Source organism: Homo sapiens, chromosome 11 (assembly GCF_000001405.40).
Source record: "Homo sapiens chromosome 11, GRCh38.p14 Primary Assembly".
NCBI lineage: Eukaryota > Metazoa > Chordata > Mammalia > Primates > Hominidae > Homo > Homo sapiens.
Window position 1 is genome coordinate 65,013,930 of NC_000011.10, and position 26,845 is coordinate 65,040,774.

The 26,845-nt window shown below is 52.5% G+C and overlaps 2 protein-coding genes, 1 long non-coding RNA gene, 1 other non-coding gene and 1 pseudogene across 6 annotated transcripts, besides 6 other annotated features; 4 read left to right on the forward strand and 1 right to left on the reverse strand.

Moving 5' to 3' along the window:
• Positions 78-837: a silencer, noted in NCBI's record as "silent region_3504". NCBI's record gives its function as "represses an Ori minimal core promoter by ATAC-STARR-seq in GM12878 lymphoblastoid cells {active_cell/tissue: GM12878}" and the evidence as "EXISTENCE:reporter gene assay evidence [ECO:0000049][PMID:35858748]".
• Positions 231-8,255, forward strand: ARL2 (ARF like GTPase 2). Of its 2 annotated transcripts, NM_001667.4 has the most exons (5): positions 231-343; positions 4,435-4,545; positions 4,642-4,804; positions 6,490-6,570; positions 7,792-8,255. In NM_001667.4, exons 1-5 carry the CDS (start codon positions 279-281, stop codon positions 7,924-7,926), a joined length of 555 nt encoding a protein of 184 aa, NP_001658.2. In that variant the 5' UTR covers positions 231-278; the 3' UTR covers positions 7,927-8,255. The 2 variants fall into 2 exon arrangements, with proteins under 2 accessions (NP_001658.2, NP_001186674.1); NM_001199745.2 differs by lacking the exon at positions 6,490-6,570.
• Positions 231-26,643, forward strand: ARL2-SNX15 (ARL2-SNX15 readthrough (NMD candidate)). Its single transcript, NR_037650.2, has 11 exons — positions 231-343; positions 4,435-4,545; positions 4,642-4,804; positions 13,389-13,707; positions 18,239-18,274; positions 18,502-18,622; positions 20,918-21,033; positions 21,130-21,277; positions 21,591-21,734; positions 24,643-24,900; positions 25,757-26,643. It is a non-coding gene; the product is annotated as an ARL2-SNX15 readthrough (NMD candidate) (long non-coding RNA).
• Positions 4,576-4,641, forward strand: MIR6879 (microRNA 6879). Its single transcript, NR_106939.1, has one exon. It is a non-coding gene; the product is annotated as a microRNA 6879 (primary transcript).
• EEF1A1P18 (eukaryotic translation elongation factor 1 alpha 1 pseudogene 18) lies at positions 12,162-12,628 on the reverse strand (annotated as a pseudogene).
• Positions 13,328-13,622: an enhancer, noted in NCBI's record as "tiled region #4003; HepG2 Activating non-DNase unmatched - State 1:Tss, and K562 Activating DNase matched - State 1:Tss". NCBI's record gives its function as "activates a minimal TATA promoter and a strong SV40 promoter by Sharpr-MPRA in HepG2 and K562 cells {active_cell/tissue: HepG2 | K562}" and the evidence as "EXISTENCE:reporter gene assay evidence [ECO:0000049][PMID:27701403]".
• Positions 13,328-13,641: a biological region, named in NCBI's record as "Sharpr-MPRA regulatory region 4003".
• Positions 13,472-13,641: a silencer, noted in NCBI's record as "silent region_3505". NCBI's record gives its function as "represses an Ori minimal core promoter by ATAC-STARR-seq in GM12878 lymphoblastoid cells {active_cell/tissue: GM12878}" and the evidence as "EXISTENCE:reporter gene assay evidence [ECO:0000049][PMID:35858748]".
• Positions 13,510-26,643, forward strand: SNX15 (sorting nexin 15). Of its 2 annotated transcripts, NM_013306.5 has the most exons (8): positions 13,510-13,707; positions 18,239-18,274; positions 18,502-18,622; positions 20,918-21,033; positions 21,130-21,277; positions 21,591-21,734; positions 24,643-24,900; positions 25,757-26,643. In NM_013306.5, exons 1-8 carry the CDS (start codon positions 13,609-13,611, stop codon positions 25,861-25,863), a joined length of 1,029 nt encoding a protein of 342 aa, NP_037438.2. In that variant the 5' UTR covers positions 13,510-13,608; the 3' UTR covers positions 25,864-26,643. The 2 variants fall into 2 exon arrangements, with proteins under 2 accessions (NP_037438.2, NP_680086.2); NM_147777.4 differs by lacking the exon at positions 24,643-24,900.
• Positions 24,881-24,930: an enhancer, noted in NCBI's record as "active region_4937". NCBI's record gives its function as "activates an Ori minimal core promoter by ATAC-STARR-seq in GM12878 lymphoblastoid cells {active_cell/tissue: GM12878}" and the evidence as "EXISTENCE:reporter gene assay evidence [ECO:0000049][PMID:35858748]".
• Positions 25,001-25,120: an enhancer, noted in NCBI's record as "active region_4938". NCBI's record gives its function as "activates an Ori minimal core promoter by ATAC-STARR-seq in GM12878 lymphoblastoid cells {active_cell/tissue: GM12878}" and the evidence as "EXISTENCE:reporter gene assay evidence [ECO:0000049][PMID:35858748]".

The window sequence follows — 26,845 nt, forward strand, 5'->3', positions numbered from 1 at the left end:
GCAGGGGAAAGGGTGGGGGAGTCGCCCTTGCTCCCCCAGCCTCAGCCCTCGGGAGGCGCAGCGTCAGGGCGGGCGGCAGCACAGAAACCCCCCGCGCCGCTAGAGGGACCCTCGCAGCAGCTGCGCGGGCGACCTCGCGGTCACGTGCGGCAAGGGCGGGACCAAACGAGCGTCCGGCCAATCGACTATGCCGTCGGCGAGCGTGATAGCCAACAGGAACCGGGAGCGGGGTCCCGGGACTGGGAAGAAACGGCGGCCGGGAGGGGGCTCCGGGGACCATGGGGCTCCTGACCATTCTGAAGAAGATGAAGCAGAAAGAGCGGGAGCTGCGACTGCTCATGCTGTATCCTACCGGACGCCGGAACCGCGAGGGTGGCGGGGTCCAGCCGGGCAGGCGGTGCCGGGCGCCCCCTGTCGGGAGCGGAACGCGGCGGCCGGCGCGTCCCAACTGCCCCTGGCGTCACCACGCGGGCCCCATCAATCGCCCCGTCGGGCCGGGAGGAGCCGCACCCCAGGACTGGGGCAGGGGCCAGCTCCGAGGGCCGCAGAAGCGGTCCTGCAGGCGCAGCGGCGGGGCTAGGCGGCCCGAGTGTCAGGGGTGGTGGGTCCCGGAGATAACTCGGACGCCACCACCCGGCGGCCTGGCCCAAGCGTGGGGCCGCTGCCCTCCCGGCTCTGATCTCCTCCCCCGGGCCCGAGGGTTCCAGGCCCCGGCCCCGCCCTCGAGCTCCGAATCCCGGGGGCGTGCGGGGTGGCGGGTGGCGCGTGTGGGCTCCGCGGATCCTTTCGAGCGTGGATCCAACAGTCCGTCTCTTTGGTGTTACGCGGCCCGTGGTTGTCCCTGCGGCTGAGGATGTGTGTGTGTGGGCCCGAGTGTCCCGTGCGCCCTGTGCGCCTTCTGAGTCCAGTTAGGCGCCCGCACCTGTTCCCCCAGCTCTGTGCCAGGCTCCGCGGGGGAATGGCTGGGGAGATAAGACGCTTACGTGCACATATAACTTAATAATCACATCATGACTGTTTTGTTTTTTGAGACAGGGTCTTGCTCTGTTGCCCTGGCTGGAGTGCAGTGGCACAATCAAGGCTCACCGCAGCCTCCAGCTTCTAGGCTTAAGTGATCCTCCTGCCTCAGCCTCCCAAAACTCTGGGAATATAGGCATGAGCCACGGAGTCCGGCCCATGTCTGTTTTATTTTGTTTTGTTTGAGACGGAGTTTCGCTCTTGTTGCCCAGGCTGGAGTGCAGTGGCACAATCTCAGCTCGCTGCAACCTCCGCCCCCCGAGTTCAAGCAATTCTCCTGCCTCAGCCTCCCAAGTAGCTGGGATTACAGGTGCCCGCCACCACGCCCGGCTATTTTTTTAAATATTGTTAGTAGAGACGGGGTTTCACCTTGTTGGTCAGGCTGTTCTCGAATTCCTGACCTCAAGTGATCCACCCGCCTTGGCCTCCCAAACTGTTGGGATTATGGGCGTGAGCCACTGCGCCGGGCCGCATGTCTGCTTTAAAGAGCTCTAAGAAAAGCATACAGTTCACTCATTTGATAAATATTGAGTGCCTAATATGTGCTAGACACTGTCCTAGTGCCCAGGGTAATAAAACTAAAAAATCTTACCTTCATGGAAATTCTGTAATGCGTGTGTGTGTGTGTGGCGGGGGGGTTGCCCGCGGGTAGAAAGATGATAACACAGGAAGTAAGTAAAATATGTAATAGAGGCTGGGTGCGGTGGCACACACCTGTAACCCTAGCACTTTGGGAGGCTGAGGTGGGAGGTTCGCTTGAGCCCAGGTGTTTGAGACCAGCCTGGGCAACATAGTGAGACTCTGTCTCTATTTATACATATATATATTCTCCATACATACTATATATATATGGGCCATGCTTTGGACCATGCTTCTGGGGAACAGGGCCTTATACTGCTCCAGGATGAACTCCCACTACGTATATAGGTATGGAGAATAATGCAATTTAGGGTGGTCAAAGAAGGCCACTGTATGATGGCAGGGCGCAGTGGCTCATGCCTGTAATCCCAGCACTTTGAAAGGCCGGGGCGGATGGATCGCCTGATGTCAGGAGTTTTGAGACCAGTCTGGCCAACATGGTGAAATCCCGTCTCTACTGAAAATACAAAAATTAGCTGGATGTGGTGGTGGACACCTTTAATCCCAGCTACCTGGGAGGCTGAGGCAAGAGAATTGCCAGAACCCGGGAGGCGGAGACTGCAGTGAGCTGAGATCACGCCATTGCAGTCCAGCCTGGGTGACAAGAGCGAAACTCTGTTAAAAAAAAAAAAAATGACAATTGAGTACATGAGGGAGGCGAGGGTTGAACCATATAGCAATTCGGGGGGGGGGGAAACTTTAAAGCAAAGGGAACAGCAAGTCAGAGGCCCTGGGAGGACTAACTGGCGTGTTCAGAGGACTGGTGAGGAGGGCAGTATGGCTGGAGTGGGGAGGAGGAGCGTTGACTGGGAACCCCCTCACCTAGGGCCTTTTGGTTTTTGGTTTTCCCTTTCAGTGAGAAGTGCAGTGGAGAGAAGGAATCGCAGACCAGTTAGGCCACTGCAGTGACGCAGGCGAGATAGGATGGTGGCTTGGACCAGGATGGAAGTAGTGAGGTCATGGAAGTTTCTGGCCTGAGCAATTAGAAGGGTGAGGAACCATTTGCTGAGATGGAGAGGACTGGGGGAGGAGCAGGTTCAGGGTGGAGATGAGAACCCTGTGTGTGCCTGTGTGTGCCATGTGAGATGCCTCCGAGACAGCCCAGAAGTGTCAGGCAGGCAGCTGGATGTAGGCACTGAGGTCCAGTGTGTGGGAGGTGCACATTTGGGTGTTATCAGGATAGAGATGGTATTTGAAGCTGTGATCCTGGATGAGGTCACCCAGGGATGAGCGTGGCCAGAGAAGAGAACCCGGTTGTACCAGGATGAAGTCAGGTGAGGAGCAGAACCAGGTGAGGGTGTGTCCCAGTGCCAAGGGCAGCGCATGTGCTGGGGAGGAGGGTGAGCCACTCCATCAGGTGCTGAGTGGGGAACAGAAGATGACTGAGCGCTGTCCCAGCACTAGAGGGCCACAGGGAGGTCTTTGGGGACTGACCTTGGTAAGGACAGTTTTGGCCACAGCAGCAGCAAAAGCCTGATGGGAGTGTGTTCTTGAAAGAGCAAGAAGGCAGAAATGGGGGTGAGCACAAACAACTATTTTGAGATTTCCTGTAAAAGGAAAGATATAAATGAATAACTAGATGGGGCAGAGAGATCAAGGGCTTTGTTTGCTCTTTTTTTTTTTTTAATCAGACGGGGTCTCGCTGAGTCGCCCAGGCTGGAGTACAGTGGTGTGATCTCGGCTCATTGCAACCTCTGCCTGCCGGGTTCAAGCAATTCTCCTGTCTCAGCCTCCCGAGTAGCTGGGACTATAGGGGCCCGCCACCACGCCTGGCTGATTTTTGTAGTTTTAGTAGAGATGGGGTTTCACCTTGTTGGTCAGGCTGGTTTCGAACTCCTGACCTCAGATGATCCACCCACCTTGGCCTCCCAAAGTGCTGGGATTACAGGTGTGAGCCACCGCGCCCGGCCTATTTGCTCTTTTTAAGGTGGGAGAAAGAACGGCAAGCTCATCAGCCAGTGGGAATGATCAAGAGGGGAAGGAAACATGGATGATGGCTTGGGGGCAGGGGGTCATCAGCGGCTAGGTTCCAGGGGCTAAGGCTGGGCCTCAGGGGAAATGCCCTCCTCACCCCTCTCCTGGGCCTAGGTCATTTGCCCCAGCTCCGATGAGCAGGGAAAGGTGGTCGAGTCCAGGACCCGCCCACCCCACCATGCCCAACTGAGCTGCAGTGTTGGGAAGATAGAGGAGGGTGGTTCCTTCCACAGGTAAGCACACCCATTAATTTGCACTGTGCAGTAGCAGGTCTGGAATATTCCAGAAACAAATGAGGGTGGCTGCCTCCAGATATTTGTTCTTACCTTAGTTCTTCAAAAAGCTTGCTCCTTGTATTTTGGGTCTCAGCTCCAGACACCTCAGAGAGGCCTTCCCCGGCACCTGAGCTGAAAGAGCCTCCTCCGATGGCCCTCTTGGAAAGCCTCTCTGTTGTGTTGATGGCGCTAGCCGGGATCTGGCAGGGCCTTCTTTTCTCATTTGTTTGTACTTTATTGACTGTCTTCCCGCTAGAGTGTAAGCTTCCTAAGGGCAGGGCTTTGTCCTCTAGCACCCAGAAGAGGGTCTGGCACATAGTAGGTGTTCAACAAATTAAGGAGCCTTTGGTCAGTAGAGATGATATTTATAATTTGATACTTTCATATTTATTGTGGGCCGATTATGGTCAGGCATGTGCTCAACTCAGTTTGATACATGGTGGGAAATAATGAGTCCCCTAAGGGGCTCTGCAACAATGTCACCACCTGGCAGAGAACAGGGACTTCTCCTTAACCTGCTGCGCCCCAGTGGCCTGGACAATGCTGGAAAGACAACCATCCTGAAGAAGTTCAATGGGGAGGACATCGACACCATCTCCCCAACGCTGGGCTTCAACATCAAGACCCTGGAGCACCGAGGGTGAGCAGGGGCCCCATGGGAGGGCCAGCCCAGAGCAGGGCAGGGAAGGTGGGAGAGGGGCCCAGCTGACCCTCCTGTCACCCGCTCCTTGCCCAGATTCAAGCTGAACATCTGGGATGTGGGTGGCCAGAAGTCCCTGCGGTCCTACTGGCGGAACTACTTTGAGAGCACCGATGGCCTCATCTGGGTAGTGGACAGCGCAGACCGCCAGCGCATGCAGGACTGCCAGCGGGAGCTCCAGAGCCTGCTGGTGGAGGAGGTGGGCAGCTCCTACCCTTTGTGTACATGTATGGACGTGTGGCTGCCTTCTCAGCAGATGCCCAGAGGGGCCCGTGGCCCCAGAGGGAAACCAGAGGCAGGATCCCTTCCTTCTCTGGGCCCCCACCATGGGAGGCCCATGGTGCCAGAGGCAGGACACATGCTGTGGACTGAGATTGAGTTAACGTCCCTGTGGTGTTACTACGTCACTACCCTGAGCATCAGTTTCTATGCCTTGAAATGGTGATGATGACACCCACATCACTGGGCTTTAGGGAGGATAACCCAAGGCCAGTATGAAGCTTCGAGAGGCCATGGAGCCTGGCTCAAGAGTCTGACTCTTTGCTGTGTGACCTCAGCTGGGGGTGGTGGCACGCACCTATAGTCCTAGCTACTCTGGAGGCTCAGACAGGAGGATCAGTTGAGCCCAGGAGGTTGAGGCTGCAGTGAGCTGTGATCGTGCCACTGCACTCCAGCCTCCTGGGCGACAGAGCAAGACCCTGTCTCAAAAAAAAAAAAAAAGGAAGGGGCCAGGTGCGGTGGCTCACGCCTGTAATCCCAGCACTTTGGGAGGCTGAAGCGGGCGGATCACGAGGTCAGGAGATCGAGACCGTCCTGGCTAACATGGTGAAACCCCGTGTCTACTAAAAATACAAAAAATTAGCCAGGCATGGTGGCGGGCGCCTGTAGTCCCAGCTACTCAGGAGGCTGAGGCAGGAAAATGGCGTGAACCTGGGAGGCGGAGCTTGCAGTGAGCCGAGATTGTGCCACTGCACTCCAGCCTGGGCAACAGAGTGAGACTCCGTCTCAAAAAAAAAAAAGAAGGACACTTGCAAAGATAGTACAGAGGTCAGAGGTCCCCCATATACCCTTTACCTTGCTTCCCCATCTTACCTAACCGTGGCCTGTCCAAACTAATAAATCAACACTGGTGAATTACTATTATCTTAATTACAGATTTTATTTGAATTTCACGTTTTTCCACTAATATACTTTTTGTGTTCCAATGTTTGATTCAGGCTACAAAATTGCATTTAGTTGAAAATGAGGACACTTGTGAGAGTGAAAGGGGGGATTCTGCAGGCAGAGTGGGGACTGTCCTGGGCACACCGCACACATCTCCTATGTGGGTGGAGCAGGTCAGATGAGATCAGGGCCGTCAAATGCTGGTCAAGGCAGGTCAAGGCCCAAGGGTTAGACCCGTCCACCCACATCTCTCCCAATCACAGACACATATGTGGAAACAACTAGAATCAGAGGTGGACAGTGAGGCCTGTCGGGAGTGGAACGGTTAAAGGGCTGTGTGAACCCAGAAGAGGGAGAGTTCACATCCTCTGTGCATGTCTGGTCATCAGATTGGAGCAGTCTAGAACCACGGAGAGCTCAGGGATCATCTTATGCAACACCCCTCCCTGTTCATGGAAGAGGAAGCTGGAGCATGGGGACAGCGGTGTCCCCTGGGTGGTGGTTGGCTGGAACCAGAACCCTGGCCCAGGGCTGCTCCATTCATGTGGGCCAGCCTTGATGGCTACGTCCACAAACTCACTCCTGGGCCTCTCCCACCACCACGGGGCCTCACCTTGATCTTCCAGGTCGATCCTTCACCCCAGATGCTCTGGGCCATTAGAGGAGGGGTCAGGCTGTCCTCTGAGTCCCCACCCCACCCCTCTATCTTTTCTCCCCCAGCGCCTGGCCGGAGCAACCCTCCTCATCTTTGCTAATAAGCAGGACCTGCCTGGAGCACTGTCCTCTAACGCCATCCGCGAGGTGAGTCCAGGCCCCGGGACAGGCTCGCTGAGGGAAAGGGGCATACATTTATTTATTTTAAAAGCATTTATTAAAAATAACCAAAAAGGCTGGGTGCAGTGGCTCACGCCTGTAATACCAGCACTTTGGGAGGCCAAGGCGAGTGGATCACCTGAGGTCAGGAGTTCGAGACCAGCCTGACCAACATGATGAAACCCCGTCTGTACTAAAAATACAAAAATTAGCTGGGTGCAGTGGCGTGCGCCTGTAAGCCCAGCTACTCAGGAGGCTGAGACAGGAGAATCGCTTGAACCCAGGACGTGGAGGTTGCAGTGAGCCAAGATTGCGCCATTGTACTCTAGCCTGTGGGAAAAGAGTGAGACTTCGTCTCAAAAAAAAAAAAAAAAAGAAAGAAGTAAAATAATAATAAGAAAAGCATTTATTAGCCTAGCCCTGCTAGGTGGCAGGACCTATGCAGGGCACTGGGGATCCAGTGATTAATAAGGCATGGGGTGGCCCACAGCCTGGGGAAGGCAGAGCTGCGCATGTGTTGTTCACAGGCTAACGGTAGCCAGCACAAGTCAGTGCTTTCAGTATGCTCTGCTCCTTGCATGGATTAACTCATTTCATTCTCACAACCACCTCATGAGGTGAGAACTATTATTTTACAGATGGTGAAGCAGGCTCACAGAGGTTAGGTAACTTGTCCCAGGTCACACAGCCACTAAATAGACAGGAAGCCTGTGTCTGACCCCAGAGCCCACATTTTAACCATGATTCTAGTGCTCAAGCACCACAGTGAGAAAGAGCAGGGTTAAAATCTTGGCTCTGCCACTTATGAGCTATGTTCCCCTAGGCAGGTTGCTTAACCTCTCTGAACTTTGGTTTCCTCCTTGGTGAAATGGTCGACACAATCCCTGGCTCATGAGGGCTTGAGGAGAATGAGTGAGAGAGGGTGTGTGGGGCTCCTAGCACGATGCCCGGATCCTGGTGGATGCTCAGGAGCCCATGCTGCATTTACATCACTAAGGGGCAGCACTGGCATGGAACTGGACAGAGAGCCCAGGTGCCCCTGGGGTCTGACAAACTCTCCCTGGGACCGGCGGGGCTTCCTGGATGGGATGACATGGAGCAGGGCCTTGAGGAAGGCGTGGAGTTCCTCTGGGCTGGGGAGGGAAGGGGCTGACGGCAGGCAGGGTCTGCAGTCACTGGCCACCACCATCAGCACCTTTGTCCTCCCAGGTCCTGGAGCTGGACTCCATCCGCAGCCACCACTGGTGCATCCAGGGCTGCAGCGCCGTCACCGGGGAGAACCTGCTGCCGGGCATCGACTGGCTCCTGGATGACATTTCCAGCCGCATTTTCACAGCTGACTGAACCACTCCAGATGCCCCCCACCTAGCAGTCCAGGTCCCTCAACCTTCACCAAACACTACCCATGGGGGGTTGGGAGTCAGCCGGCCAAACTAACACTCCCCCTCCTCCACCCCAGCCTGCTGCTGCTACTGCTGCCCGCTGCTGCTCTGTGGCCACCCGGCTCCCATGGCGGGAGGGCTGTGCCCTGGCTGTCTCTCTGGCTCCTGACCTGGCCTTTGGCTACCATACCAAGAAGAGAGGGCTGGGCGGGGAGGAGCTGCTACTGCTGCTACCGAGGCTGTGGGCCTCATCCTTCACTCAGTTGTGAAATAAACCGCTCCTTGCCCCGATTCCTGGCTGAGTCATTTGTTGATTCAACAGCGTTAGAGACCACCTGGGACCCTCAATCTAGCAGGGGACAGAAAGGAATGGATCATTGGAGTCGATGGTGAACTGTGGCTATGTCAAAGGGATGCAGAAAAAGTTATAGAAGCATGGGACACGGTGCAACTGATTCCATCTGCAGGCTTCCTAAAGGAGGTCACATTAAAGCTGGGAGTAAAGCGCGAGTAGTTTTCTAGGTAGAGGAAGGGGAAGACAGTTCACCAGGGGAAATCCAACTCTCATAGGTATGAATTAGAAAAACAGACACAGCTGCAGACCAGGGCTCCAACTTTTTGCATGGAACATGGGCTGAAATTCAGCTCCCAATTCTCTGTTGCAGCCAGGAACCCATGTGCAGTGGACAACCTGAACAGCTGTACAAGGCCAGCACAGATTCAGGCAGAGGGGATCACAGGACAGGCATGATGAGCAAGGGCTCCGGCTGGGCGCGGTGGCTCACCTGTAATCCCAGCACTTTGGGAGGCCAAGATGGGCGGATCATGAAGTCAGGAGATCAAGACCATCCTGGCTAACACGGTGAAACCCCGTCTCTACTAAAAATACAAAAAATTATCCGGGCGTGGTGGCGGGCGCCTGTAGTCCCAGCTACTCGGGAGGCTGAGGCAGGAGAATGGCGTGAACCCGGGAAGACGGAGCTGGCAGTGAGCCGAGATTGCGCCACTGCACTCCAGCCTGGGTGACAGAGCGAGACTCTGTCTCAAAAAAAAAAAGCAATGGCTCTTGGGAAATGGGGAGGTGCATAGAGTCATGTGTAGGAGAGAGTGCAGCCAGAGGGTGGGAGGGGGGCCACATCAGGCAGGGGTAACTGAGGCCTTCCCTGAAGGCTACAGGAACTCAGAAGCAGTGCCAGGTTGGGAAAGGATAGGAAATGAGGCCACCCCAGGGGTCCAATCCAAGTGGCAAAACTGGCAGATGTTTTCATGGCACAGGGTCCTAGCAGCTGCTTACTCTGCAGGGTTCTGTGTGAAGGGGTGGCCTGTCCCTCCACACCTGTGGGTATATCTCGTCAGGTGGGACGAGAGACTGAGAAAAGAAATAGGACACAAAGTATAGAGAAAGAAAAGTGGGCCCAGGGGACCGGCGCTCAGCATACCAAGGACCCACACTGGGACCGGTCTCTTAGTTTCTTCAGTTTTTATTGATTATTACTTTCACTATCTCAGCAAGAAGAATGTGGTAGGAGAGCAGGGTGATAATAGGGAGAAGGTCAGCAAAAAAACGTGAGCAAAAGAATCTGTGTCATAATTAAGTTCAAGGGGAGGTACTATGCCTGGATGTGCACGTAGGCCAGATTTATGTTTCTCTCTGCCCAAACATCTCAGTGGAATAAAGAATAACAAGGCAGCATTGCTGCCAACATGTCTTGCCTCCCACCATAGGGCGGTTTTTCTCCTATCTCAGAATTGAACAAATGTACAATCTGGTTTTATACCGAGACATTCAGTTCCCAGGTGCAGGCAGGAGATAGTGGCCTTCCTCTATCTCAAGTGCAAGAGGCTTTCCTCTTTTACTAACCCACGTCAGCACAGACCCTTTATGGGTATCGGGCTGGGGGACGGTCAGGTCTTTCTCATCCCACGAGGCCATATTTCAGACTCTCACATGGGGAGAAACCTTGGACAATATCCGGCTTTCCAGGACAGAGGTCCCTGCAGCTTTCCACAGTGCATTGTGCCCCTGGTTTATTGAGACTAGAGAATGGCGATGACTTTTACCAAGCATACTGCCTGTAAACATTTTGTTAACAAGGCACGTCCTGCACAGCCCTAGACCTTAAACCTTGATTCCAAGGCCGGGCGTGGTGGCTCACGCCTGTAATCTCAGCACTTTGGGAGGCCGAGGCAGGCGAATCATGAGGTCAGGAGATTGAGACCATCCTGGCTAACACGGTGAAACCCCGTCTCTACTAAAAATACAAAAAATTAGCCAGGTGTGGTGGTGGGCGCCTATAGTCCCAGCTACTCGGGAGGCTGAGGCAGGAGAATGGCATGAACCCAGGAGGCGGAGCTTGCAGTGAGCCGAGATGGCGCCACTGCACTCCAGCCTGGGCGACAGAGCGAGACTCCATCTCAAAAAAAAAAAAAAAAAACACCTTCATTCCATACAACACATGTTTTTGTGAGCTCAAGGTTGGGGCAAAGGGGTTGGGGCAAAGTGGCTGGGGCAAAGTTACAGATTAACAGCATCTCAGGGCAAAGCAATTGTTCAGGGTACAGGTCAAGATGAAATTTCTTCTATCTTCCCTTTCTACATAGATACAGTAACAGTCTGATCTCTCTTTTCCCTACACTGTTCTAAGTACTACCCATTCCATTCAGCAATACAGTTAGGGACAGCCCTATGCAGTGCCGCCTATCAGGATCCTCTCTTATATGGGACACTAAGGGGTGGCACTGGCGTGGCACTGTACAGAGAGCTCAGGTGCCCCGGGGAACAGATAAGCTCTCCCAGGGGCCGGGGAGGCTTCCTGGATGGGCTGACCCTTGAGCAGGGAGGGAAGGGTCTGCGGTCACTGGCCACCACCAGCACCTTTGTTCTCCCAAGCCCTGCATCTGGACTCTCTGCAGCCACCACTGGTACGTCAAGGGCTGCAGCCCCACTGCTGGGGAGAACCCACTGCCTGGCATTGACTGGCTCCTGGATGACATTTCCTCCAGAAGGTTAAGTGCAATCTCTGCCTGCCGGGTTCAAGCAACTCTCCTGCCCCATTCTCCCGAGTAGCTGGGATTATAGGCACCCGACACCACACCTGGCTAATTTTTGTATTTTTAGTAGAGATGGGGTTTCATCATGTTGGCCAGGCTGGTCTTGAACTCCTGATATCAAGTAATCCGCCCGACTTGGCCTCCCAAAGTGCTGGGATTACAGGCATGAGCCACTGCACCTGGCCCCCAGCTAATTTTTAAATTTCTCATGAAATCAGAGGCAGCCTGTTGCCCAGGCTGGTCTTGAACTCCTGGCCTCAAGTGATCCTCCCGCCTTGGCTTCCCAAAGTGCTGGGATTACAGGCATGAGCCCCATGCCAGGCTTTGCTTCTTTCTGAAGACCAAGGCACCGCACCTGTACACCTGAATTCCAGGAACAAGAGTGGCTATTCACAATGCTTCCTCTGCAGTAAATACTATGTGTTGTATGTAAGCCTACCAACTTCATGCTGCATTTCAACAGATTTTTGCTTCAATTCTAACACTGACTGGAGCAAAGGTCTCAAAACCCATGCCAGGTTTGGGAACACCAGTCTCCACGTGGCCCACACTGACAGTACCAATACCACCAATTTTGTGGACGTCTGGAGGGGCAGAACCAAGAGCTTGTGAGTTGGTGGTAGGATGTGATCTAGAGCTTCCGAGCAGCGTGGTTCCACAGCATCGCCATCTTTACAGGTGACTTTCCATCCCTTGAGCCAAGGCATGTGAGCTCTTGGCTCCCGCCTGTTGTGACCACTCCAACCAGATATTGGCACAAATACTACTATGTCAGAGTTGTAGCCAATTTCTTAATGTAGGTGCTGATTTCCTTAATGATTTCTCCCATCTCTCCTTTTTTTTTTTTTTTTTTTTTTGAGACGGAGTCTCACTCTGTCCTCTGTCTCCCAGGCTGGAGTGCAGTGGCACGATCTCAGCTCACTGCAACCTCTGCCTCCTGGTTTCAGGCAATTCTCTGCCTCAGCCTCCCAAGTAGCTGGGATTACAGGCACCCGCCACCATGCCCAGCTAATTTTTGTATTTTTAGTAGAGACGGGGTTTCACCATCTTGGTCAGGCTGGTCTTGAACTCCTGACTTCCTAATCCACCCACCTCTGCCTCCCAAACTGCTGGGATTACAGGCGTGAGCCACCACGCCCGGCCCCCATCTCTCCTCTTTAGGGTGGCTCATTGGGATCCATTTTGTTAACACCAACAATTAGTTTCACACCCAGCGTGTAAGACAGAAGGGTGTGCTCACGCGTCTGCCCATTCTTGGAATTACCAGCTTCAAATTCATCAACACCAGCAGCAACAATCAGGACAGCACAATTAGCCTGAGGTCAGGTTTTTGATAAAGTCTCTGCATCCTGGGCCATTGAGGATGGTCACATAGTACTTGCTGGTCTCAATTGCCAGCAGGGAGGTATCAGTGGTGATACCACTCTCACGTTCAACTTTCAGCTTACCCAAGACCCAGGTATGCTTGAAGGAGCCCTTTCCCATCTCAGCAGCTTCCTCAAAATTGTCGATGGTTCTTTTGTGGATCCCACCACACTTGTAGATCAGATGGCCAGTAGTGCTGGACTTGCCCAAATCAGATGATGATGTTGAGCTGAGTCTTTTCCCTCCCCTGCTCCCTTTCTTTTGAGATGGAGTCTCACTCTGTTGCCCAGGCTGGAGTGCAGTGGTGTGATTGCAGCTCACTGCAGCCTCAACCTCCTGGGCTGAAGCCATCAGCCAGCTCAGCCCCTGGAGTAGCTGGAATTACAGGCGTGCGCCACCACGCCCAGCTAATTTTTGTATTTTTAGTAGAAACGGGGTTTCACCATGTTGGCCAGGCTGGTCTTGAACTCCTGACCTCAAGTGATCCACCTGCCTCCACTGCCCAAAATGCTGGGATTACAGGCGTGAACCACCGCGCCAAACCCCCATTTTGGCTTTGATTTAACGGTGGTTTTCACGACACCTGTGTTCTGGCAGCAAACCCATCGCAAAAAAGCTCCACTGCCCTACACAGATTCTATTATAAACATCTCCATTCTACAGATGAGAAACTGAGGCTGAGTAGTTAAGGGAAACTCCTACAGCTAGTAAGAGTCGTGACTCAGAGCCCATGACACCATCCTGCTTCTCCAACCTTCTTTGCTTCCTCTACTTTCCAGAAAACATGAATTAGGGAATCCTGTGGAGGGAGACAGGGAAATAATTTGACGTTGTCCTGTACATACTGGACACAATAAGAGTTGGGTGGATGAACGAAAGCAGGGATTTAGGAAGCGGGGAGAAGTCGTTTGGAAGTCTGTGACAAGGGTTTACGCTTGGATAGGGTGGGCTTGATCACCCGGCAGAAATGAGACGAGTGATCCCAGCCTTCCCAACCAATCTTTCCAGTGACCTGGGTTTACGCTTCACCACAGAGAAGGAACTTTTCAGACGCTCCCTTGGCCGCGCACCCGGGATCGGAACAGCGCTGTCACTTGCGACAAAATCCCTAGGCCAGAGGAAGAAGAGCGCAGGCCTGGCGAGGCGGCGGCGGGCGGAGGCTGGGCCGGAGGGGTGGGGACGGCGAGGAGGTGGAGGCCGGCGCTCCGCTCCGCTCCAGCTCGGTTTCATGTCCCGCCAGGCGAAGGATGACTTCCTGCGGCACTACACAGTGTCGGACCCCAGGACTCACCCCAAGGGCTACACCGAGTACAAAGTAACCGCGCAGGTGAGGTGGGGCCCAGCGCGTACTTTACCCTTTTAACTAGAGGGGCGCCGAGTTTTACCTTAAGGAAAGGCGGTGCAGCCACTGCTCCCTTTTTAGACGACAGAAATGGGTTTCCCCTTTAAGGGGAGGTTGCAGTACGAGGCTTAGTTTACATCTTTAACCACCAGGGGGCGGGGTCCTGGGTGGGCGCTGTCTTTTTTAAAAGGGCGTTGACGGCCGTTCCCGGACAGGCAAGGCGTGTATGCCCACGCCCGGAGTGTAGTGTCTGGGCATCAGGCTGTGAATTTCTCTAAATTAACATGAAAACTCTGGTTTAATCCAAATATTAGTACTCCATTCTCGTAGAGTAAGTTTTGTTTATTGGTTTGTTTGATGTTACATAAACTCCCTTTAACGAGTTTAACCATTTTTAATTTTTCAAAAAATAATACTGATCAGTGGTTGAAAAAAATTGATGCAGTTCAGAAGGACTTAAGGAGTAAGTCGCCATATCAAGGTCACAGCAGGAAGATAGATAGGCTAGAGTTGATATATGAAGCGATAACAACATCATAAGCACAATTTATAGAGAGACATGGAGGAAACCATGACAATAATTAAAAATGAAACAGTAAAACAGGACACCTGTAGAATGATAACAAGAACTGGTAACAAGGAAGGTCCCCAGGGAGAGGAACTGTGTCACTGGGGACAGGAGTTAGGGGAAGACTTTTTACTGTAAATTTTTTGTACTTTTAGAATTTTCAACCAGGCGACTATTAAGCTGGTGCATTAGTTAACTCTAAAAGCAAAGCAGGCACATAAGGACACTTCCAAAGTGATCTAAGTGCAGAATCTTAGCTATTTAAAATATGCTTTCCCCAAACCGTTTACGTCTTTTCCATGCCTAAAAATAATGCAAATAAGGCCGGGCTCAGTGGCTCATGCCTGTAAATCCCAGCACTTTGGGAGGCTGAGGCAGCAGATTGCTTGAGCTCAGGAGCTCAAGACGAGCCTGGGCAACATAGTGAGACCCCGGATCAATATTAAAATACAGACACACACACAACTTTAAAAAAAAAAAAAAAAAAAGCAAATAAATAGATTGTCCCTGGGAAGATAGACTGGAGGTGGGGCTGGGGTGGGGAGGATGTGGCAAGGAACTGTAACCTTTTATTATAAGTCTTCCCAGTGGTGGCCGGGCGCGGTGGCTCACGCCTGTAATCCCAGCACTTTGGGAGGCCGAGGCGGGCGGATCACGAGGTCAGGAGATCGAGACCATCCTGGCTACCATGGTGAAACCCCATCTCTACTAAAAATACAAAAACTTACGGGCGTGGCAGCGTGCACCTGTAGTCCCAGGTACTCGGGAGGCTGAGGTAGAAGAATGGAGTGAACCCGGGAGGTGGAGCTTGCAGTGAGCCGAGATTGTGCCACTGCACTCCAGCCTGGGAGACAGAGCGAGACTCCGTCTCAAAAATATAAATAAATAAATAAATAAATAAATAAATAAAAATAAGTCTTCCCAGTGGCTTTTTTGTGTCGTTGTTTTGTTTTGTTTTTGAGACAGAGTCTCACTGTCGCCCAGACTGGAGTGAAGTGACTCGATCTCAGCTCACTGCAAACTTCCGTCGCCCGGGTTCAGATTCTCCCACCTCAACCTCCCAGGTAGCTGGGACTACAGGCACGCGTCACCATGCCCAGCTAATATTCGTATTTTTTGGCAGAGATGGGGTTTCACCATGTTGGCCAGAATGGTCTCGATCTCTTGACCTCATGATCCACCCGCCTTGGCCTCCCAAAGTGCTGGGATTACAGGTGTGAGCCACCACACCCGGCCTCCCATTGGCTTTTTAAACCAAGCAACATGCATTACTTTGATATATTTTTATACATATTATATAATACAATGTATTATATATAATAAATATAAAATATAAAGCACATAATATATAAATATATGTATGTATATATTTTTTGAGACGGAGTCTTGCTCTGTCGCCCAGGCTGGAGTACAGTGGTGTGATCTCAGCTCACTGTAGCCTCCACCTCCTGGGTTCATGCAGTTCTCCTGCTTCAGCCTCCTGAGTAGCTGGGATTATAGGCGTGTGCCACCACACCCGGCTACTTTTTGTGTTTTTAGTAGAGACGGGATTTCACTGTGTTGGCCAGGCTGGTCTCGAACTCCTGACCTCAAGTTATCCTCCCACCTCGGCCTTCCCAAGTGCTGGAATTACAGGTGTGAACCACCGCGCCTGGCCTATATTTTTATTTTATTTTATTTTATTTGCGACGGGGTCTTGCTCTGTCACCCACGCTGGTGTGCAGTGGCATGATTCACGTCTTACTGCAGCCTCAAGTTCCTGCATTCAATCCATCCTCTTGCCTCAGCCTCCTGAGTAGCTGGGACTACAAGCATGTACCACTACGCCTAGCTCAATTTTTAAATTTTTTGTAGAGGCTGGGCGTGGTGGCGCACGCCTGTAATCCCAGCACTTTGGGAGGCCAAGGCGGGTGGATCATGAGGTCAAGAGATCGAGACCATTCTGGCCAACATGGTGAAACCCCGTCTCTACTAAAAGTACAAAACGTAGCTGGGCATGGTGGCGCTCACCTGTAGTCCCAGCTACTCGGGAGGCTGAGGCAGGAGAATTGCTTGAACCCGGGAGGCAGAGGTTGCAGTGAGCCGAGATCACACCACTGCACTCCAGCCTGGTGACAGAGTGAGACTCCATCTCAAAAAAAAATTTTTTTTTTTGTAGAGACAGAGTTTTGCCATGTTGCCCAGGCTGGTCTCAAACTCCTGGCCTCAAGCAATCCTCCCATTTTGGCCTTCCAAAGTGTTAGGATTACAGGCCACCATGACCCACCGTACCTGGCCTATAATTTTTTTTTTTTTTTTGAGATGGAGTCTCACTGTGTTGCCAGGCTGGAGTGCAGTGGCATGATCTCAGCTCACTGCAACCTCTGCCTCCTGGGTTCAAGTGATTCTCCTGCCTCAGCCTCCTGAGTAGCTGGGACTACAGGCACTTGCCACCACGCCTGGCTAATTTTTGTATTTTTAGTAGAGACAGGATTTCACCATGTTGGTTGGCCAGGCTGGTCTCGAACTCCTGACCTCAAGTGATTCTCCCACCTCGGCCTCCCAAAGTGCTGGGATTACAGGCATGAGACACCACACCTGGCCACTCAATGGCTTTTAAATAGTTTCTTTTACCAGAATATTTTAGGCAAGTCTCTGTTGTCAAAAGCAAAGTCCAGGGTTTTAGTCCCAGCCATCTTTCTTACTTAGTGTGTGGTCTACTATGGCCACACCTCTCAGAGCCTCCATTTCCTCATCTCTTAAGTGGGCATGTCAATTATGTCTGCCTCAGTGGGATCTAGGATAAGAAATAGATGTTTTTATTTATTTATTTAGTGTGTGAGAGACAGGGTCTCACTCTCTCCAGGCTGGAGTGCAGTGGTGCAATCTCAGCTCACTGCAACCTCTGCTTAACATGCTCAAGTGATCCTCCCACCTCAGCCTTCTAAGTAGCTGGGACTACAGGTGTGTCACGCCACCACACCCAGCTAATTTTTTGTATTTTTTGCAGATACTGGGTGTCACTATGTTGCCCAGGCTGGCCTCAAACTCCTGGACTTAAGTGCTCTGCCCACCTGGGCCCCCTAAAGTGCTGGCATTACAGGTGTGAGCCACCGTGCCTGGCATAGGAGATGTTATTAAACTGTCAAGTACCCCAAACCATAGGACATTATTTTAAAATTATTATGAACATAACGATGAAAACTGAATCTTGTTTTCACCTCAGACCCAAGTCTGCCCTTCCAGGGACTTCAACTCCAGTGATGGTTTCTTCTGTGTCCAGGGCGCTGAAGCGCAGGATCTTCTCCCGCAGGGAAGGAGGTTCCTGAGGCAGAACCTCCCTTCTTTGGAGGCTTGGGGTTCTTTGGTTTCAGAAGTAGATGGAGGGACTTGGTCTGTTCAAGGAACTGGGATAAAAATTGGGCTGATGGCCGGGTGCTCACGCCTGTAATCCCAGCACTTTGGGAGGCTGAGGCGGGCGGATCACTTGAGGTCATGAGTTCCAGACCAGCTTGGCCAACATGGGGAAACCCCATCTCTACTAAAAATACAAACATTAGCAAGCGTGGTGGTGCATGTCTGTAGCTTCTTGGGAGGCTGAGGTAGGAAAATCGCTTGAACCCTGAAGGCAGAGGTGGCAGTGAGCCGAGAGTGTACCACTGCACTCCAGCCTGGGCGACAGAGCGAGACTCCATCTCAAAAAAAAAAAAGTTGGGCTGAGGTTGGAGCAGTCCAAATGGGCCTTTAGGGGTCCTCCTATTTGATAGATGGAGAAACTGAGGTACATAGTAGGAAAAGTTGCTAAAATTACACGCGAAGGCTTAAAGCCAGGGTGCCTTGATGCCAGAGGCCAATGGCCAAAGGCTACTGCCCCGTGAGGGGGACTAGGAGGCACCTGGGGCATTACAGGGTGAGAGGGTGTCAGATGGCAGTCTCTGGTCTCAACCAGCTCTTGCCTTTCTTTCTCAGTTCATCTCAAAGAAGGACCCAGAGGATGTCAAAGAGGTGAGGCTCCTGGGAGGAAGAGGGACTGTTCTGCAGTTCCAGATCTGGAAACTGTCAAGGGGCAGCTGGTAACTCTGCTTGGACATCGGCCCTCCTTCCTCCCTGTCCCTGGGCGAGGGGCTGCTGCAGCTGCTTCCTGATCCTCACGCCCCCTGGGGGCAGGCTAGGCATGGGGGCGGCTGCCTCCCACCATTGCTGGTTCTGGGCAAGTCTCATGTACCTCATAGGTGGTGGTCTGGAAGCGGTACAGCGACTTCCGCAAGCTGCATGGAGACCTGGCCTACACCCACCGCAACCTCTTCCGCCGCCTCGAGGAGTTCCCTGCTTTCCCCCGGGCCCAGGTGTTTGGTGAGTGTTAGATTGGGGCACTCGGGCCAAAGATGGAGGGAGCATTGGGCAAAAGGGGACCTCCGCCAGTGGGGGCTGGATAGAGAGGGCCTGAAACCCTGGGCAGAGTCATGTTTGGAAGGGCCCTTAGAGATGACCTCATTTGACAGATGGGGAAACTGAGGCTCAGAGTAGCCTAACCCTTACTGTGTATTTCACCTTTTAACATTCCTGTTGGGCCAGGCGTGTGGCTCACGCCTGTAATCCTAGCACTTTGGGAGGCCAAGGCAAAACTCCATCTCAAAGGAAAAAAAATCCTGTCTTTATCAGCTCCATTTTATTTTCCTTTTTCTTTTTTGTTGTTGTTGACAGCCTCACTTTGTCACCCAGGCTGGAGTACAGTGGCGCTGTCTTGGCTCACTGCAACCTCCACCTTCCAGGTTCAAGGGATTCTCTTGCATCAGTCTCCCCAGTAGCTGGGATAACAGGTGTGCACCACCACGCCTGGCTAATTTTTGTATTTTTAGTAGAGACAGAGTTTCATCATATTGGCCAGGCTGGTCTTGAACTCCTGACCTCAGCTGACCTGCCCGCCTTGGCTTCCCAAAGTGCTGGGATTACAGGCGTGAGACACTGCACCCGGCCCATCTCAATACTTAGTATATTGATTACATGTTGCAATGAGAATATTTGGGATATATTGGGTTAAATAAAATATTAAAATTAACTTGTGGCTAGGTGTGATGGCTCACACCTGTAATCCCAGCACTTTGGGAGGCCGAGGCAAGCGAATCACGAGATCAGGAGTTTGAGACCAGCCTGGCCAACGTGGTGAAACCCCGTCCCTACTAAAAATACAAATAATTAGCTGAGTGTAGTGGCAAGTGCTTGTAATCTCAGCTACTCAGGAAGCTGAGGAAGGAGAATCGCTTGAACCTGGGAGGCAGAGGTTGCAGTGAGCCAAGAGTGTGCCATTGCACTCCAGCCCAGGCGACAGAGTGAGACTCCGTCTCAAAAAAAAAAAAAAAAAAAAAATTGTTTCTTTTTTCCTATTATTTAATCTAGCTGCTAGAAAATTTAAAATTGCATATGTAGCTCATATCTGTATTAGACAGTGCTGACCAGTTGCTTGGGTCTGCATACTCATGTGAGATGTTCTTTTTTGTTATTGGTTTTTGTTTTTGTTTTTTGAGACAGAGTCTCACTCTGTCACCCAGGCTGGAGTCCAGTGGCATGATATCAGCTCACTGCAAACTCTGCCTCCCAGGTTTGAGCGATTCTCCTGCCTCAGCCTCCCAAATAGCCAAGTAGCCACCCAAGTAGTGTGCGCCACCACACCTAATTTTTTTTTATTTTTAGTAGAGACAGGGTTTCACCATGTTGGCCAGGCTGGTCTCGAACTCCTAACCTCAAGTGATCCACCTGCCTCGGCCTCCTAAAACGCTGGGATTATAGGTGTGAGCCACCGCACCTGGCCGAGATGTTCTTTTGAAGCAAGGTAAAGGATTGCTGCTGTCAGGTTATGCCAGGCCAGTGGGGAAGTACCACAGACTGGCCGCACAGTAACTGGACCAGAGTTAGCCTGCTCTGCAAAATACCTAGGACAGAGCAGTGAAACTGTGGCTCGCACCTGTAATCTCAGTGCTTTGGGAAGCCAAGGCAAGGTAATCACTTGAGCTCAGGAGTTCAAGACCAGCCTGGGCAACATGGTAAAACCCCATCTCTACAAAAAATACAAAAATTAGCCAGGCATGATTGTGTGCACCTATAGTCCCAGCTACTTGGGAGGCTGAGGCGGGAGGGCGGCTTGATCCCAGGAGGCAGAGGTTGCAGTGAGCTGAGATCGTGCCACTGCACACCAGCCTGGGTAACACAGCCAGTCCTTTTCTCAAAAAATAAACGGGGGCTCCTTGCTTTGTGACCTTGGGCAAGTCACTTTCCCTCTCTGAGCCTTACTTTTCTCATTAGATCAAAGCCATCAGAAATGCTTTTGTTTCTTGTTAACTGCCTAGCTCCCCCTGGGTAGGATATGATATTCACAAGGGCAGAGACTGGTTCCTCCCCTGTTCACCTTCTGAGTCTAGCATATAGTAGGTGCTCAGTAAACATCTGGCAAATGAATGAATAGGGAAATTGATCCCTCCTGGAAGCCCCTACCTCACCCCAGGAGGAACCAGGGCAGATTGCTGGGAGAATGGGTAGGAGGGCAGTGAGTTGCTCAGAGCATCTCAGGCAGGACCAGGAAAAGTGGCCTTGGGGCAGAAGCCCCTGTGGGTCACCGCCACTCTCCCCTGTTCCTTGTCCTGGGGGCCGTAGGCCGGTTTGAAGCCTCAGTGATCGAGGAGCGGCGAAAGGGGGCAGAGGACCTGCTTCGCTTCACTGTGCACATACCTGCGCTCAACAACAGCCCCCAGCTCAAGGAGTTCTTCCGGGTATGTGCACCTTCCACCTTCCCAGAACTTGGGCCACTTACCCACCCACCAGATTGCACCCCATGACTCCCCATGTCTGATCTTTCTGTCCTGCAGGGTGGGGAGGTGACCCGACCCTTGGAGGTGTCCAGGGACCTACACATCCTGCCACCCCCTCTGATCCCCACCCCGCCCCCTGATGACCCCCGGCTATCCCAACTGCTCCCTGCAGAAAGGAGGGGCCTCGAGGAATTGGAGGTGCCAGGTACATCGGGGTGGGAGGAGGGAACCAGGGCTGGAGGGTGCAGAGTGGGGAGGGCGGCCACACTCCCTCCTCAGTGATCTTACTGAGAAATGTGTGTGTGTCCCAGGTCTATCACTTAACTGGCTGAGGAACTTTGGGCAGGTCCTTTTCCTTCTCTGTGCTACAGTTTCTTGATCTGTAAAATGAGCACAAACCCTAATAACAGGCTTGTCTATGCCCATGGTTGCTGCAAGGGTTTAAGGAGAGAGTAATTCTATTTTGAAAGCTGAGAAATAAACGCAGGTATTCATGACCCCACTTATCTCTTCCTCAGTGGACCCCCCACCATCCAGCCCTGCCCAGGAGGCCCTGGATCTCCTCTTTAACTGTGAGAGCACCGAGGAGGCATCTGGTTCCCCTGCCCGAGGCCCCCTCACCGAGGCTGAGCTTGCCCTCTTCGACCCCTTCTCCAAGGAAGGTAATGAGCTGGGACAGCCGGGAAGGAGCCAGGGCAGGACGTCCTTGGGACAGGGAGGAGGGCAGAGCCCCACTAGCCTGCTCAGTGCCTGCGCAGATCAGGGAGAGACGTCTCCTCAGCAGTGCTGCCCTGTGGGCCAATAGCAGCTTCAATGAGAATTAGAAGCCCTGTGCCAGGGCACGTGGTGTGGTGTGCTGGATGCACCTGTGCAACAAATAGCCACGAGGAAGGAAAGGAGGCACTTCCCATGTTGGGGCCATCTCACTGAGAAGGCTTTGGAAAGAGCCGGGTCACACTGCTCTGGGACATTTTAGTTCCTTCCCTGCAAGCTCTTGGTGGGATTTCCTGACTGGCCAGGGTCTGGCTGCAGATCCTGAAGGCAAGAGGCCTGCTGGTCAATGGGAGTGAGTTCTCAGCTCAAAGGGCAGCTGCAAAGGGAAATCCCTCTGGGGGCCTGGAGCCACTGGCATTTGGGGATGCTGGAGGTAGAAGGGCCCCCCCAATGGAGGTCAGGGTCCTGGGCACCTTCTTGCTGTGAGATCCTGGGACTCGACAGTCCCAAGCTCTGAGACACTGGAGTTTTTCATTCTAAAATTTGCCAACGCCTGGCACATTGGCTCACACCTGTAATCTCGACACTTTGGGAGGCTGAGGCAGGAAGATTGCTTGAGCCCAGGAATTCAAGACCAGCCTGGGCAATATAGCAAGAGTCCATGTCTGTTATTCTTTTTCTTTTTTTGAGACAGAGTCTCACTTTGTCGCCCAGTCTGGAGTACAGTGGCGCAATCTCTGCTCACTGCAACCTCCCAGGTCCAAGCGATTCTCCTGCCTCAGCCTCCTGAGTAGCTGCGACTACAGGCGCGCACCACGGTGCCTGCTAATTTTGTATTTTTAGTCGAGATGGGATTTTTCCATGTTGGTCAGGCTGGTCTCAAACTCCCGACCTCAGGTGGTGCGCCCGCCTCAGCCTCTGAAAGTGCTGGGATTACGGATGTGAGCCACCGCGCTTGGCCCGTTTTTTTTTTTGAGATCGAGTCTTGCTCTGGATTGCCGAGGCTGGAGTGCAGTGGCGCGATCTCAGCTCACTCCCACCTCCGCCTCCCGGATTCAAGCGATTCTCCTGCCTCAGCCTCCTGAGTGGCTGGGACTACAGGCGCGCGCCACCACGCCTGGCTAATTTTTGTATTTTGAGTAGAGACAGGGTCGCACCATTTTGGTCAGGCTGGTCTCAAACTCCTGACACTCAAGTGATCCACCTGCCTCCGCCTCCCAGAGTGCTGAGATTACGGGCGTGAGCCAAAATGCCCTGCCTCTTTCACTTTTCTTGTTCTGCCTCCTCCCGTTCCTGCTCCTGCCTCTCCAGGGTTGGGGAGTGGGAAGAAGGAATGGGAGGGAAAGGCAATGTTGGTGTCACAGGGCTGTTATGCCTGGCCTCTGGGTGGCAGGCATCCAAGTGCTCTGTCCTTGTGCCAGCTGAGTCCCTGCTGGGCAGCTAGCTGCCTGGGCAGGAGCTTTTCTATTTTTTTTCCTCTCCTTTTTAATTTTTTTATTTTTTTTTATTTATTTTTTGAGACAGAGTCTGGCTCTGTCACCAGGCTAGAGGGCAGTGGTGCGATCACGGCTCACTGCAGCCTCCAACTCCTAGGCTTAAGCGATCCTCCCACCTCAGCCTCCCAAATAGCTGGGACAGGACCACAGGCATGCACCATCATGCCCAGCTAAGTTTTTGATTTTTTGTAGAGATGAGATCTCACTATGTTGCCCAGGCTGGTCTCAAGCTCCTGGACTCAAGTAGTCCTCCCACCTCAGCCTCCCAAAGTGCTGGATCATAGGCATGAGTGACTGTGTCCAGCCAGGATCTTTTCAAGACCCTTCACAGACAGCTCCAATGAGACATTCACTCAGCCCATGGGAAAAGTCCCCAAAGCCTGGAACTGCAGTGTGCTCAGACACTGCCTTATTTCCCTACCCTGCCATGGTGGGCACCTCCAACAAGCCTCTCACCACCAGAATTCTCGAGGCAAGGAGTGGGCACCTGTGTCTCCCTTCTTCACAGCAAACTCCTTAACTCGAGTGTGCAGGTGTCCCAGGTACTCTTCTGCTCTCTGCTCCCTGAGCAATACATGGAGGGCTGTAGGCCCAGCCAGGAGGTGCCTTCTCCCTCCTGCAGGAGGCCCGGACTTCTCAGGGCTCTCATGGAACTCACAGGGATGGGGTTAGAGAGGCACCCACTTTTTCCCTCTCCAGGATGATAGGGTATCATGATGCTTCCTGCCCCCGCACCTTCCCCTCAGAGGCCTTTTCACCAAAGGTGCACCAGATTTCCAGTCGCCTCGTGTGTAAGCTGCAGGTAGGATGTCCGACCCCCTTTTAGCCAGTCCAGGGGGATATAATGAGCCTTTACCTGGGAAATGTGAGGACACCTGTCACTCACTGTCTTTACATTTGGGGGCCTCAGCTGAAACTGCAAGGCTTCAGAAAACCCCTGAGATTCTCTAAGTCTCCTATTCTAAGATTATTCCAAGTCTTGGAGCATTTCTACCCTCAGCCTGGTGGTGGTGGCCTAGCATCCTTCAGGGAAACTTTCTGGAGGGGATTTTTGGATTTCTAGGTCAACTGGAGTCAAGAGGGAAATAGGACCAGTGACCCAGAGCTTACAAACTAGAGTGTGTACCTAAAGACATAATTAGGAAGGTAAGGCTGTTTTTACAGAAGCACATGAACCCTATCGATCAAATAGCTCATGGCTAGTTTTTGATCCACAGACGACTTCTGGATTGCTCTGGCATTGGTCCCCTCTACTGGGGACAGGCTGATACCCTGATGGACAAAAGAAGTCTTGGGGTTGGGCAGAGGGCCTGGGAAAGGAAGGGCCAGTCTGGTCCGAGTCCTCCCTTTCTAACTGCAGAAGGCGCAGCCCCCAGCCCCACCCATGTGGCTGAGCTGGCAACGATGGAGGTGGAGTCTGCAAGGCTGGACCAGGAACCCTGGGAGCCAGGAGGGCAGGAGGAGGAAGAGGATGGGGAAGGAGGGCCCACCCCTGCCTACCTAAGCCAGGCCACAGAGCTCATCACCCAGGCCCTGCGGGATGAGAAGGCAGGCGCTTACGCTGCTGCACTCCAGGGCTATCGAGACGGCGTGCACGTCTTGCTTCAGGGAGTCCCCAGTGAGTAGGGACTGAGGGTGGAGGGTCAGGCCTGGGTCCCAGGTGGGGCAGTGATGAAGGGAGCAAAAAAACAAGCAAATCACGGATCAGGAGCCCTTTTACTCCTCACTGACCAGCTGTGTAACCTGGGCAGATTTTTGTTTCTGTTTTTTTGTTGTTGTTGTTTTTAACCTCTTGTGGCCTCAGTTTTCTTCTTCCTCTTTTTTTTTTTTTTTTTTTGAGACAGAGTCTTGCTCTTGTTGCAGGCTGGAGTGCACAATCTCGGCTCACTGCAACCTCCGCCCCCCAGGTTCAAGTGATTCTACTGCCTCAGCCTCCCGACTAGCTGGGATTACAGGCGCCCACCACCATGCCTGGCTAATTTTTGAATTTTTATTTTTTATTTATTTTTATTTATTTATTTTTATTTTTTGAGACAGAGTCTCGCTCTGTCGCCCAGGCTGGAGTGCAGTGGCACAATCTTGGCTCACTGCAACCTCCACCTCCCAGGTTCAAGCCATTCTCCTGCCTCAGCCTCCTGAGTAGCTGGGATTACAGGCACGTGCCACCACGCCCAGCGAATTTTTGTAGTTTTAGTAGAGATGGGCTTTCACCATGTTGGTCAGGCTGGTCTCGAACCCCTGACCTCGTGATCCACCCACCTCGGCCTCCCAAAGTGCTGGGATTACAGGCGTGAGCCACCGCGCCCAGCATGGCCTCAGTTTTCTTATTTGTAGACTGAGGAGAATGGATGCTGGGCCCCAGAGAGGAGGGAAAAGCACATGGTGATGCTCTGCGAATTGTAAAGGACCCGACCAGGGGTTCTGACCAGGCCAGTGGTGCCCAGGTGCCTCAGCTGAGCATTCTCTCTCCACAGGTGACCCGTTGCCTGCCCGCCAGGAAGGTGTGAAGAAGAAGGCAGCTGAGTACCTGAAGCGGGCAGAGGAGATCCTGCGCCTGCACCTGTCTCAACTCCCACCCTAACAGGGAGTGGGCCATTCCCTGGGACTCTCGCTCCTGCACTGCCAGCCCCTTCTCCTCTCCCCAGGGCCTGGCCCTACCTCCTGGTCTTGTAATTACAGGAGCCATTTCTGTAGGTAACTGGACCAAGAATGAGAAAAATAATGAATTCTTAGCTCCCTGATTACACCTGCCACCTTGGAATCAAGGACTCACACTTCTGACCCTGCCTGTCTTTTTGGGGTTTTTTTGAGTTGGAGTCTCGCTGTGTCGCCCAGACTGGAGTGCAGTGGTGGGATCGCGGCTCACTGCAACCTCCACCTCCCAGGTTCAAGCAGTTCTCCTGTCTCAGCCTCCCCAGTAGCTGAGATTGCAGGCACATGCCACCACGCCCAGCTAATATTTTGTATTTTCAGTAGGGACGGGGTTACACCATGTTGGCCAGGCTGGTCTCGAACTCCTGACCTCAAGTGATCCACCCGCCTCAGTCTCCCAAAGTGCTGAGATTACAGGCATGAGTCACTACGCCCGGCCCATGTCTGTCTGTCTTGATGTGTGAGCAGCAGCTGTGGTCATTAAACCATTAGTTTACCCCTCTAGAACTGGGGTCTGCAAACTCCCACCTGCAGCCAAATCTGGCCCACCTCCTTTTTAATGTAAGGGCTGTGAGAGTGGTTTTTACTTTTTTTAATGATTAAAAAAATCAAAATAATATTCTGTGACAATGACAGGTGAAATTTATATGTGACAAGTGAAAATTATATGAAATTTAAGAGTCCATAAATAAAATTTGTTGGAACACAACCAGGCTAATTCATTTAGTATTGTGATAGCTGCTTTCGCGCTACACTGGCAGTTGAAACAGTTGCAGAGTTGAGTCTTTGCCGCCTGCAAATCCCAAAACATTTACAACCTGGCCCTTTGCAGAAAACATTTGCTGGCCCCTGAGCTAGAAAATAGGGAGCATAGTCTCAGGGAAATAGAGGACAAGCCGATGGAGCCGGTT